The sequence below is a fragment of the Homo sapiens genome, chromosome 11 (genome assembly GCF_000001405.40).
Source record: "Homo sapiens chromosome 11, GRCh38.p14 Primary Assembly".
NCBI lineage: Eukaryota > Metazoa > Chordata > Mammalia > Primates > Hominidae > Homo > Homo sapiens.
In genome coordinates this window covers 61,548,903-61,562,554 of record NC_000011.10, presented here as the reverse complement: position 1 = coordinate 61,562,554, position 13,652 = coordinate 61,548,903, and the positions used below count along the sequence as shown (strand labels likewise).

Below are 13,652 nucleotides of genomic sequence, written 5' to 3'. Positions count from 1 at the left end.
CTCCGTGCCCCAGATATCACTAATCCAGGGCACGATGTGATAATGCTATGATAATAGCTAGCATTTAGTGCCTACTTATTCCGTGTCAGGCACTGTGCTGAGTTCACTGTACATGCTAATTCCTTTAAACCTCACCATAGTCCTATGAGACTATACTATTATCAGCCCTCATTTACAGATGGGGAAACCAAGGCACACAGAGATTAGGTTACATGGCTTGGAAGAATCAGAGCCAGAATTTAAGCATGAGCAATCTGACTTCAGAGGCCTGGCACTAATCACTATTCTCTAAAAGAAGGATGTAGGCCCAGTATGCTGGGAACTCAGAGGCAGGAGAAATTAATTCCCACTGGGCAGACTAAGGGAGGCTTCCTGGAGGAGGTCTTTTCATCTGGGCCTAAAAAAATCAGGAGTTTGTCAGGCAAAGTTGAGCATGGGGAAAGAACAGAAGGGGTCCTAGTGTATGTGTGTGTGTGTACGTGCGTGCGTGTGTGTGTGTGTGTGTGCATATGTGTGTGCATGCATGTGTGTGTGCATGCGCGCACACACACTTGTAAAAGAGAGCTCTCAACTCATCACTGCAGCCTCTCCCATCTCATCACTGCAGCCTCTCCCATCTCTTCTCTTCCATCTTATTTGGGTGACAAATGAGATAACATATACAAGCATTGAACATTCAACAAATATTTGCTGAGCACCCCCCGTGTGTCAGACGCCGAGCTCGTCATAGAGTATACTGGAGTGAGCAAAGCAGATACAGCCCCTTTCTTTGTGGACCCTGTAGTGTGGCATATAGTAGGTGCTTAATAAATAGTAGCACCTATTATTATCTTTGTTCCTGGAGGCCTGGGATTCTTCCTCCTTCATTCTTTCAATAAGCATTTATTGAGCACCTATTAAATGCTCCACCGTTGGTGCTGGGAATACAGTGGTGAACAAGAGACCAAGCCCTGCCCAGATGCTAGAAGGGAAGGCTGTGCATGGACATCTTGTCCACCCTCAGAAGCAGGCCGCTTCCTGGGGTACACAGACCTGACCCTGAGATCTCCTTGGGGGGTGGCATGGCCAGGAGCATAGGCTGTGCCCACAGGACCCAGCAAAGCACACAGGACTCAGTTAGACCCTTCATCCTGAGCTGTAGTCAGCTGATATGCCTACCACAGGCCTGGGTAGAGGGGCAGCAGCCTGCCCCAGCTCATACCTCACTCCCAAGACATCCCGGCATTGGACCTAGGAGATCTGGCTCTGCCTAGCTCCTGGTTCACCCTGCCTTCCAGGTTTCCTGATGTTGCCTGTCTGCCCTTGTCTATGCTGTGCCTTACCCGCCGGGACCTAGGATGTCTCCTCTGCCTCAGGATAGGTTGTGGCACTCAACCCTGTCAAAAGGCTGACTAGGGCTCCAAATTTTCTTTCCCCCAGTGTTAATATGCTGACAGTAAGGGGACTTGAAACCATGCATGTCATCTGAGGAGGGGTTAGAGGGCTGGGGCGGCTTTGCCTGGAGAAGACTTGAAGGGGACATTAGAACTGTCGGCAAGGATTTGGAGGCCTGTCATGTGGTAGAGGCAGCCAGCTCGTTCCTGGCAGCTCTGGAGGGCAGGCTCAGGACCAGCAGGGAAAGTTCTGGGGAGACAGATTCGGCTCTGCGAGAGGTACAGCAGCCCTCCCTAACAATGCCCGTCCAGGAAGGACCTGCTTCCTGCCTTCTGCTCCCTGCAGAAGCTCCCTGTCACCAACAGGGCTGCCCATGGGCTTTGTGCATCCCTGGGGCCTGACTTCATGACTTTCAAGGTCCCTTCTAGCTGGAGACACAGTGACTCCATATGCAGGGAATGGTTCACTCTGGCTGGTAGGCGAGAACATGCTTGCACCCCTTGATGGCGACATCCCCCTTAGGATCTCCTTAGGATGTCGGCATGCTGGCCGAGGACATCATGTCACTATTATTCACAACATCAATGCAATTTGCAGTGGCAAGTGTTTGTTTCACCCTGCCTTTGAGGGCTGTCCGAGGGAGGCTGAAGGGTCTGGGAAATCTGTGGGGGCCGTACCAACTGCCTGGAAGATGACAGCAGCCACCCACACTGTAGGGGACCCTGGGGCCACTCATCCAGAAGAGTTCAACTTTCCTTAGCAACACAACCCCTTCTCCAAATGGAATATTCTGCAAAAGCTCAAGAACACAGACAGGAACAGTGCTACTGTGGCTGAAGAGGGCTTGAGGGATCACAGCCTTATCTGCTCAGCCTCCACTCCCCAGAGCCCCAGAGAGACTCCAGGCAACCCTAGGGGTTCCAAAGACTACCTCTTGAAAACTAACCACGTACCTCTAGTTGGTGTGATGTCAAAGCAAAGGGTATAGAATCTGAGCCGGATTGCCTGAGTTCAAACCCCGGCTTTCAACTTGGACATGGTATTTGACCCCTCTGTTCCTCAGTTTCCCCATCTGTAAAATGGGGACAACTCATAATGCTTATCTCTGTTGTCGTTGTGACTGCATGTGGAGCACCTGGAATACCTGGCTTGTCCTCTGAGTGGGGAAGGGTCAGGGTCAGCTCTTCCACAGATGAAGGCACTGATATCCAAGAGTCAAGTGTCTTGCTGGCCACATGGCTGGTTAGCAGCTGGACTAGGGTCTCAGCCTAGTTCTCCTAGACCCCAAACCTAGGGCTTATTCTGCTGTGCCCACAGAATGCTAATTGCTTAAGATGGGTGTTTTGTTGGGTTTCTGGGGACCTTTCAGAGTGTGCCCACTGGACTCTGGGATCGACAGGCTTCTGTCCCTAGGGACTCTCTGACCTGCAGCAGGGGTTGAGGATGGTTTTTGAGAAGGATCTTGTTTGACAAAAAAGGAGGGAGCTCCAGGAAGGTGACCTTTTGGAGAATTCCCAATGGCAAAGAGGTGTATGGGGGAGGGGGGAGTGTGGAGAGGGCATCAGAGCAGAGGAGCCCACCTGGAGTGTGGCTGTGACCTCCAGCTGCTTCCTACTGTAGCTACCAGATCATGAGCTTGTGAAACACCCCTCTGATCCCATCCTTCCCCTGCTCAAAAGCCTATCATGGCTCCCATGGTCTACAGAACAAAACAAACCCCTCAGCTGGATAGACAAGCCCCTTCCCCATCAGGCCGTCCTTTCCTTCCAGGCTGGTCTCCCTGAATTCACTCCCCATACCCTAAGTCCGGCTCCTCACGCCATGTGCCTGACACTTTTCCCACCTCCATGCCTTTCCCTCTGCCTGGAATATCCTACTTTCGCCTCACTTCCATCTTCAGACTACACCAAACACCGCCTCCTCAGGGTGGCCTTCCCAGATAGCTCCCTAGTCCCACAAGATTGATAAAGTCCTCATTTGTGCTCCCAGGGTCCTTTGTTTATGCCTGAGATAAAACAAACACCAACAACCATACTAATACTACCCATCTATTGAGTGCTAACAGCAACCCCGTGGGAGACACTGAGTGGTTAATACACTTGTCCAAAGTCACACAGCTGTTAAGAGGCAGAGGTGGGGCTGGGCACAGTGGCTCATGCCTGTAATCCTAGCACTTTGGGAGGCCAAGGTGGATGGATCACCTGAGGTCAGGAGTTCAAGACCAGCCTGGCCAATGTGGTAAAATCCCATATCTACTAAAAATACAAAAAATTAGCCGGGTGTGGTGTTGGGTGCCTGTTATCCCAGCTATTCGGGAGGCTGAGGCAGGAGAATTGCTTGAACCATGGAGGTGGAGGTTGCAGTGAGCCAAGATCATGCCACTGCACTCCAGCCTGGGTGAAAAGAGCAGAGCTCCGTCTCAACAAAAAAGAGGCAGAGGTGGTACTCACACTTGGGTCTTTTTTCTCAGGTCTTTTGGAGTCTGGGGCCCCCTGGCTGGGTGTCCTGCTGTTTGATGGTTCTGGGGCACCTAGCGTGCTAGGAGATAACTTAATTCTAACCTGTCTTCCCCACTGGAGTGGTAGTTCCTTGTGGGCAGGGCCTGTTCCCCAACAAACACACACCCTCATAATTTATATATATATGTGTGTGTGTGTGTGTGTGTGTGTGTGTGTATGTGTGTGTGTGTGTGTGTATATATATATTTTTTTGAAACAGAGTCTTGCTCTGTTGCCCAGGCTAGAGTGCTATGGTGCAATCTCAGCTCACTAAAACCTCCGCCCCCCTCCAACCCCCATGCCAGAGTTCAAGCCAAGCAATTCTCATGCCTCAGCCTCCCAAGTAGCTGGGAGTACAGGCACACGTCACCATGCCCAGCTAATTTTTTGTATTTTTAGTAGAGATGGGGTTTTGCCATGTTGGCCTCGAATTCCTGACCTTAAGTGATCTGCCTGCCTCTGGCTCCCAAAGTGCTGGGATTACAGGCATGAGCCACCATGCCCACTCATAATATATTCTTAATAGATAGTTGCCGAGGAAAGCTCAGCGTAAGAATGGCGTTTACTTTATTTCAAAGTGAGTTAAACAAAGGAAAGTGTGGGCTCATCTGCTTTCAGCCCACACAGCTCCCCTAGCCCTTCCAGTGGGGCTGGGCAGGTTCCATGGGGAGAGCTGGGAAACAGATCTCATGTCCAGAAAGCGCCTTTGCCCATCCCTTCCCTGGAGTCCTGGCCATGGGCCGTGGGGCTGTGGTGGAGTGCCCTGCTCCTATTCTCCCTTGGAAGCTTGGAGATCAAAGTCCTAGTTCTCCCATTTGGCCTGAGAACTTTGACAAATGTGGCCCCTCCAGCCTTGCAGAGCTGTGCTCCTCAGCCCAGGAGAGGGAGGGGCAGGACCTTGGTGATTGCAGGTTGTCCAGGTCAGAGCTCCTGGGTGCCGTGGCCCCTGAGGTTGAAAGTGAACTGGGTGCAGGGGCTTCCGGGGGGTTGAGGCTGCAGACTTGGTACAGGAGGAGGCTGAATTTGCCTGGCAGGTGGACAGGTGGGAGCCTCACAAGTGTGGTCTTTCCCCACAACTAGGAGGCTCAGGAAGTCAGGAAGGGAGAGGTGGGGCCCAAAGAGGGTTCTAGTAGAGCAGGTAGAGAAAGGGCTGCCCAGGGTGCTGGAGTGGAGGAGGGAGGGAGCCCAGAGGCCCCTGAGAGCTGATGAGAGTCATCCCTGAGGGTGACTGCTGGGCCTTCCTCAACCAGGCTCCATGGCCAAGCAAGAGAGACTGGGAGAGGAAGAAAGGCAGAAGCTAAAACCGCAGGAACCAGAACCAGACAGATACTGTCAACTCTTAATTACCATGATCACTGGCACCAAAAAGCCCACGCAGGCTCCTCTGTAAATAAACAGCATCTCCTTGGCTTTAGGATGCATCCCAGCACACACAACAGATTGATAGCGCATGTGTGATCTATGCGGGTCTCCACTCACTGCCCCACATGAGAATTTGTCCTCAAAGTTTTTGCCTTACTTACATTTGGTTTGGGCTAATGTTTACAATCACCCATGAGGAGGGCGGGGGAGGAGGTCTGATCTGCATTTACAGAGGAAGAAACCAAGTGCTTCTGTGACTGGCAGAAGCCACACAGCCGGGGAAGGGGTGGGATTCAGACAGAGGCCTGAGATTTTCCTCCCAGGACATCTTTGCCAAGGGTGCCAAGGTTTCCACTTCTGAAGTTTATGGCACCTCGGCACTTGGGATGAGAGCATTTAGGAATTACAGATGGGCTGCAGCCATGGTGTGGTGGGGGTGAGCTTGGGGGATAGGAATGTGCAGAGGCCAGTGGGTGGACTTCCAGACCAATGAAAGCTGGGCTAAAGGGGGCAACAGCTGGCCAGAGGGTTCCAGAGATTCCTTTGACTACACATATGGCTGGTGAGTCTTGGGAAGCAAGACGACCGGCTAGTGCCATGAGGCAGATGTCCTCAGAGGGGCTGTCAGAGCTAATAAGGACCCTTTGGACAAATTTCACTAGAGTTGCAACTCAGAGTGTGTGTGTCATCAGGGCAGTGGGTGGAAGAGTGCTGTGTGAAAAGGCCATCCAGGAGCAGTGGCCTGTGGAGGGATTTGATGGACGGGTGAAGTCTGGCTGAACTGAGGGGCACATTTGGCCTCTCCCTTTGAGGGTCTCAAGTTTGGAGGCCGGCACAGATCCCATGGACTCACACAGGGTCCGTGCAGGGAGAGACAGAGAAAGATGCCAACTGGCACAGTTTCCCCATTTTACAGATGAGGAAACTGAGGCACACAGAGAGGAAACTACCCAAGTTCATCCAGCAAGGCAGAACTGGGAGTAGAACCTGGGTTCAGAGCTCCCAGTGAAGGGGCCAGATGGAGGGTAGGGTGGTGGTTCTGGAGGGCTCTGGGCTGAGGGAGGGTGGCAGGCCCTGGCCAATGAGGGTGTGACCTGTACCTGTCCTCCCCAGGGGCGCCCTCGCGCGACGTCCTGCTGGTCTCTGCCATCATCACCGTCAGCCTTAGCGTCACTGTCGTCCTCTGCGGCCTCTGCCACTGGTGTCAGCGCAAACTGGTGAGGCTCCTGAGGGCCCCTTGGAGGGTGGTGCCTAGCCCTGCACACTGCCCCCCCTCCCCACACACACACACAATTACAGGCTTGGGAATTTTCCCAAGGGTGCACACAGGTGACTCACCTGTCCGCATAGTCAGGGGCACTTCCATAGAAATTCAGACCGCGTGCATACGCATGCATGCATGCACACCCTGCGTTTACCCGGGTCTCAGCCCTATACTTCTGTTTATATACCCAAAGCCATGCATCTAGGGACACATTCGGGGACAGACTTAGGACTCACAGGCATTCGCACGCGAGCAGCTACACACACGCGCACACACACACACACGCCCTGCCTCCCGCATAAAGCACCGCAGGCACACACGCGCAGACTGAGAATAGAGCCCCCACTCTAAGCACCGCGCCCCCTCCCCTCTGCCCGCTCCCCTCCATGGGCGTGGCTGAGCCGGTGGCCAATGCGGAGGCGCCGCCCGCCCCACCCCCGCACATCCATCCTGGCTCTTGGGTTTGTACAAGCACAAACGGCTCCTTTTCATTTTTAACGAGGGCTGGGGAATTAACGAGCAGGATTAGTCCATCAATAAGTAAAGAGACCGTCAGGAGGGACATTCATCCCCTGAGGGCGCCGGTAGGGGGAGCGGGGCTGAGCCGCCCGCCCCGCATCGCGCCGCCCCGCCCAGCCCGCAGCCCACAGCTCCCCGAGCCGCTGCTCCGCAAGACCTCCACTCCCGTCCCCACTCCTGCCGCCCGGCCCAGAAGTGTGGTGGGACTTTGGGGGCAGCAGGGGGCGAGGGGGGCGACGGTGGGCCCGGGGGTGTCCGAGGTGCTACGCCTTTGGCGGAGTCAGGTGAAGGAGGGTCACTAGCAAGCATCCCCCATCTCCCCGGGCCGAGAATGGTGGGAGTGGGAGCAGGGCACCACCTCTGGGAACCCCATTCTCTTCCTGCGCAGCCAAAGGGGGGCCTTAAGGACAAGGGGGGAGCACTGTGGCTGTGGGCACTGGGTGGGTAGAGGCTTCATGCCCCACTCCTCTGGAGGAAGAAAAGGGGCAGATACCCCTGGGAAAAGGTTTTGGGGTCTTGTGAGAGACCTGCGGGAAAGACCTGAGAGTCCCAGAACCCAACATGCCTCCTTCAAGAAAGGCAAACTGAGGACTTGGGAGCATGCGGCTCCATCCTGGGTGTTGAACTTCAGGCAGCTCCGACCCCTGGGGAGGAGCCATAGTGGAGGCCAGCTCTGCTCCCTGTGCGAGTGTGTGTGCATGTGTGCAAGTGTGTGCATGACCCGATCCCCCTCTGCCTGCAGATGTGTGGAACCGGGCTGGCTGCCCTGCTTTGTTCCTGGGTCCCCTGTGTCTGCGTCTGTCTCAGAATTTCAGGAAAGGTGGTGGAGGAGGCTGGGCCATGTGCCTCTGTGTGTGAGTGTCCTCGGAGGCTGGGGGAGTGGCTGAGCGTACCTGCAGCCCGGAGCATCTTGTTGCAGGGCCCCTTAGGCTGTCTTGCTGTCTGTCTGGATTTGAAGGCTAGGGAAGAAGGCTGCATGAGCAGGCGCTGATGGCGACCTTGTGTGTGTGTTCCATGTGGAGTCTGTGCTGAATGTGTTGACTTTGAGGGTATTGGTGCACTGTGTGTGTGTGTCTGTGTGTGTGTGTCTGTCTGTCTGTCTGTGCGTGTCCGTTCACCCCTCAGTGGTGGGATGTGCATCAACTCATCAGATCCCTGTGTGAGTCAATGCTGGGGTCTGCCCCACCCTCCTGGCCTCCTCTGCATATGTGCTGCAGTGTGTGTGTGTGGGTGTGGGTGTGGGTGTGTGTGGTGAGAGATGACTTCCAGGACCCAGGTACAACTGTAACTGGTCTCCACCCCACCCCCATGCACCTCCAGTCAGGGGCAGGGCCTGGGGACAGGAGTTCAAAGACAACAGCTTTTGCAGCAGATGGGGGGCTGTCAGCACAGGAAGGACCTTGGGAGCTGAGAGATGCAGAAGCAGCCTCTTCCCTGGTCCCAGCCCCTCCCCACAATCCCCAGCCAGGAACCCTCCCAGGGTCCAGACCGCAGGCTGTCCCTCTTGACTTGCTGTGGATAGAATGCTACTCTCCCCAGTCCCCCAAGCCCTGCCACCCCCTCCCCTCCGCCTCAGGGGTTCCAGAAGCCAGGGAGCTCGTTGATCAGGCTGTCTCCTTGCTCCATGGAAGGGACTTTAAAACGCTGTCCCCTCCCCCAACACACACAGTTGTTGGGCTCTCCTTGCCTGCCTGTCCCCTCAGCAGCAGTGACGTGATACCCTGACAGCCCAGATCCCATTTCCAAACATTAATAACTTCCTTAATCTCCAGCTGGCTTTTTCCGGATCAGCCTGGCCACCCCTCCCTGAGAAGCAGGCTGGTGGTGTTGGGCTGCTTTGGAGCTGCCTAATGTCACCTGGACCCTGCCTGGTTTCCTGTTAACTTGGGTTGTCCCCCTGCCCTCCACATCAAGTCCTGGCCTGGTTCCTGTCCCCCATAGCACCTCGGCTCCTGCTGCAGAGCAATAGTCGAAGCCAGAGGGGAAGGTTCTCGGAGTTGGGGAAGGAGAAGGGGCAGACAGAGGCTCCCAGGATGTCTGTGGGGGCGCTGCTCGGAAAGGGCTGACCGTGCCCTTCCTGGCCTCGGGGAAGGGGCAGCGGCCCTGCCTTACGAGAGGGTGCTGGCCAGGGCAAGCTCTCCTGCCAAGCCAGAAAGAAGGAAGAGAAGGGCGAGGGGTGGCATGGGATGCCCTCAGCAGCCCCACTCTTGACCCACACTGCCTGTGTGCTGGAGAATAGTGGGGCGGGGCTCCTGCCTGAGGGTCCTGCCAAAGGGGGCCTGAGGTCACTGTGGCACAGCCGCATAGGATCTTCCCAGTTGGAACTGGGAATTGTTTGAGATTTGGACCTCTGGGTAGTGATGGGAGGGATCGGAGTTGGAGCTGTGAGTGGCAGCTTTTGTGAACCCAGGGTGTCCGGCATCTCTATATTTCAACTCTTAAAGTTCTGACTTAGAGGTCGCTGCTGGGGGCCCAGACTCCAGGGTGGGCGGGGCCATAGAAGGGACACTTCCAGGTGATGATTTCTGAGAACTGCCCAGTACCAGGTTCCACACTAAGTACCAGAAACCCACAGCCTTGCCTCTGTGGGAGCACGTGCCGGGAGATAGGAGCTGAAGTAAGTGAACAGAAATACTCATATATGTGATGAGAGCCTGGAGGGATGAGGAGTCTTCCTTCTAGGGGTTCATATGGCGACACCATTTCAGAAAGGAGGAAAGAGGCCAGAGAAGGGAAGACACTTGGCTAGGCTGACGGGGGAACATGCAGCATTGCTGGAGCCAAGCCCCAGGCAACCCTGAGGTGTAGGGCACTGCTGGTGGGATGAGGGAGCTTTGCTGCTGGTCTCCCTAGATAGGTGGCTCCCGTGCCTGGGAAGGGGCTGCCCCTGGCAGGAGCATCAGGGAGCATGGCTGTGACAGGAATCATGGCAGTGGCAGTGACAGCTCTTACTCTGCTTTAGAGAGGATGGAATAATTGACTGTTGTGGCTGTGGTGCTGGTGCACATGACAGGGTGTTGGGAAGCATTTGTGCGCGCACGTGTGTGTGCATGTGTGTGTGTGTGCATGTGTGTGTGTGTGTGTGCAGCCGGGGAGGGGCAGGCCAGTGCCCAGTGGGAGAATGGGCTGGGAGAGGCAGCCCCAAACCCCGCACAGCCCCTGTCCCCCGACTGCCCATATCAGCCCTGGACCTGGCCCAGGTCCGTGGCCCATGGGTGCGTGTGAGGACGCTTGGTGGCAGCCAGGAATGTTAATGGGGCTAGGCTCTGCATGAGCTAAATTTAGAAACCCAAACTGAGAAGGTGAATGGTGCTCACCTTCCCGGCAGCAGGCCCAGTTGCCGCTGTGGCCACGGCCCTTCCTTTAGCTGGAGGACCTGGGGTACCCACCCGCTGCCCTGCTCCCTCCCTCCCCCTGCTAGTGTGAGGGACTCTGGGGGGCAGGGGCCCAGGCTGCCTCCCCGCAACTGCCTCTGAGTCAGCGGGCAGTCTCTCTTCCTAAGACTGCCTTCCTAAAACAGCCTTGCTCCTGCCTTACAGCCCCAGGGCACAAGGACCCCCCAGAGAACCCCCAGACAGTGGTGGACACAGCCCCGAGCAGGACTGGGGACATGGCCTTCTCCCCGCCCCCACTGCTCACATCACTGGCCACTGCCAACCTTGCCCTGCAGGATGCCACCCCCACCATCTGGGGGCGGTGACGTGGACAGTGTGACGTGGCCAGGCGCCTGAGAGCCGTCTGTCCGTGGCAGAGGGAACTGTGTTTCTGGGAGCTAGGCCAGAGCCCCAGGAGATAGGCAGACAGGAGGGGCTGATCCCTGGGAGTCAGGGATGAGGTTCGGGTCGAGGTGGGTGGGGCAGGTCCTAGAGCCCGATGGGGCCCAGGAGCTGCCAACCGGGGAGCAGGCATCCAGGGGATTGGCCCCCACCGCGGTGACAGCCTCGCACACTGGTCCTGGCCTTGTTGCCACGGCCCGACTCCAGTCTATCTCCTTCCCCTCCGGGTCCCTGTTCTGGGGAGGTAGGGAGGGTACAGTCCTGTTCCCCAGGAGTGATCCTAGTGCTATCTCCACAGGGCAAACGCTACAAGAATTCCTTGGAGACGGTGGGCACGCCAGACTCAGGGCGTGGGCGCAGTGAGAAGAAGGCTATCAAGTAGGTGCCAGGCTGCTAGTTTGGGATGGGGCCACACAAGCAGCCCAGGTGGGAGGAGCCCCTTCTCTCCCCCAGCCCCACAGACCTGACCACACACTTTCACTTCCCCCACACCCCGATGCCATGCTCTCTACACCCTCCACACACCCCCAAAAACTCAGGGGCCCCGTCTTTTCTGCCTGTGCCCAAGCCCCTCGTAGTGCTCCGGAGTCCCTGGCCTCCGTTTCCGCTGCCCTCACCGCCAGCACCTTCTGCGCCCACCTCAACCCTGGTTGCCGCTTTCTCATCCCACCCTCCTATCACACACACTGTGCCCACCACCCGCCGGCTTCCCTGGACCTCCAAGCCCCTCTCATGGGGCCCCTGCTGCTAGGCCGGGGAGGCCCCTCCCTAGTGGGCCCCAGCTTCTTTTCTCAGATCCTGCCAGTGTTTGAGGATGACCTGGAAGTGGGGAGGCAGACACACCTGTGTCTGGGCCACTCGGGGAGCAGAGCGCTGGGGAGCAGTCCCTCCCTCCCCGTCAACCCCACCGGCCGCTGTGTGTCTGGCTGTCTCTGCCTCACCCAGGTCTCCTTGTTCTGCCGTAGAGCCCTCTTCAAGGAGTCTGCCCTCCCACTGCAGACCACCTTGGCCAGCCCTCTGCTGAGGTCACTGGGAGACACCAAGAGAAGTCCCCCACCCACCTGGCGGGGGACTCAGGCCACCTGGGCTCTGGAAATGGAGGCTTTTGCTGGGGGGGAGGCCTCTGTGCCCACTGGCCAGTGGCCCCAGCCCCTTCCTCTTTGCTGAGCCCAGAGGTCAAGGTAGGGGTGGTAACCCCACATCTCAGCCTGGCCTGGACCAAGCCTGCCAGCCAAAGGGCTCTGCCTAGAAGCCGAGCGCCCCATCCCTCCCTACCTCCACTCTTCCTCCCTCTGAAGGCCCAGCCACCCTCCCCCTGCCCTCTGGCCCCTGCCCGCTGCTGGTCTCCCCTGCCTTCCCCTGTGTGTCTTTCCCCTTCCGTTCCCTTCCCTTTCCTATTTCTCCACCTTCTCTTCTCCACTCCTCCCCCACCCTCCACCCCGCTCCTGAGGGCTCCCTCCCAGGTCCTCTTCTGCCCCATTTTATTCATCTCTTGCACTGATCCTGTTTGGGGCCTTGGTAGAAGCTGTGTGCATGTGTCTGGGGTGGGGCAAGAGGAGGCGTGGGCCAGGCTGAGGCTAGGGGAGGGCGGGAGGCTCAGGAGGAGGCTGTGGGAGACTTTGAAGCTAGGTTGGTTGCCCAGACTCCGGTCTTCAAAGCCAAGTGCTGGCAGGGCCCAGGGGCTCTTGCAGAGTGCAGGCCCGGGCTTTCTGAAGGCGAGGGAGCACGTGGGGGAGCGTGGCCAGCCCAGCACCTGTGCCTCCTCCAGGACAGGCCGTTTACAGCCGCGGGCCAGGGCTGGGGGCCTGCCTCTGCCAGGTGATCATAACCTTCCTGGATAGGGGTGCGTGTGGCAGGGCCCAGAGTCCTGGAAAGGGCCCACAAGAGGAGACAGGATTCCCAACCAGGGGGAGGGCGGGCAGCAGGCTGTGCCAGGCTGGGACCAGTGCCCATGAGGGCTCTCTAAGACAAAGTGAGGCAGCAGCGGCCGTCCAGCCTGCCTCTGTGTGGTCCTGCAGCCCCCGCACTCACAATCCTAGCCTGCCCCCGAAGCTGCTGAGTGGTCAGGCCCTCTGCCCCGAGGGACAGAAGCCACCGTGTGTGTCTGCATGCACCTAGGCCTTTGCTTCTTTCCAGAGAACAGAAAGGTCCCAAGTCAGTGGAGTCACAGGTGGCGGAGCCTCCTTCCTGCACAGCCCTTCATGGGCTTAGGACCCCCAACAGAGGATCGTCTTATCAAGGATTCTGGGAAACTGTGTTCTTTAGCAGTGCTTTCCAAACTGTGTTCGTCAGGGCCCTTGTGCCCCACAGATGAGTCATAGCTATTCCACGAACCAAGGGTCTCACGGCCAACTAAGTTTGGGGAACACTGCACACTCTGTCTCCCTCTTGGCGATACTGATATTCATGGGCACGTTAAAGGCTCTGAGAAGTCCTGCGGTAAAGGAATCAGTGTTTCCCAAATTTCTTTAATCAAAGATCCTTTTTTCCAGTACCGCAGTGGAAAAACCTGAGAGACCCTGGAGCTCTTCAGAACACAGGGTGGGAGACAAGTCTGGCAGTGGTGACTCTGGGTGGATTTTTTTTCTGGGACCTCGGGCTGGATGGCCCTAGATTCTGGAGATCTGGAGGGAGCGGGAAAGAGAGGCTGCTACCTGCTCCATCTTTGTTATACCTGACGCAGGGAGGCCCCATCCATACCCTCGTGTGAGGCTCTGCTGGGAAGGGACATCTGTGGTGGGAAGGGGGTTTTCTGTCAAGGGATTAGGTTCCCCTGGGGCCTGTCCTGCCTCCTCCATACCCACCACTTACTGCCCCTGTGAGCTGGCTCTACGCTTTGGCTTTGAACCCTGTACACAG

General features: G+C 56.9%; 1 protein-coding gene across 17 annotated transcripts in view; it reads left to right on the top strand.

The window, feature by feature from the left end:
* SYT7 (synaptotagmin 7) overlaps positions 1–13,652 on the top strand; it is a 74,674-nt gene that overhangs the window by 25,833 nt on the left and 35,189 nt on the right. For all 17 annotated transcript variants that reach the window (XM_011545343.3, XM_011545340.3, XM_011545337.3 and 14 more), the window contains exons 2-3: positions 6,348–6,451; positions 11,092–11,171. In XM_011545343.3, coding sequence (XP_011543645.1) covers positions 6,348–6,451; positions 11,092–11,171 — 184 coding nt within the window. The remainder of the gene's footprint in view (positions 1–6,347; positions 6,452–11,091; positions 11,172–13,652) is intronic.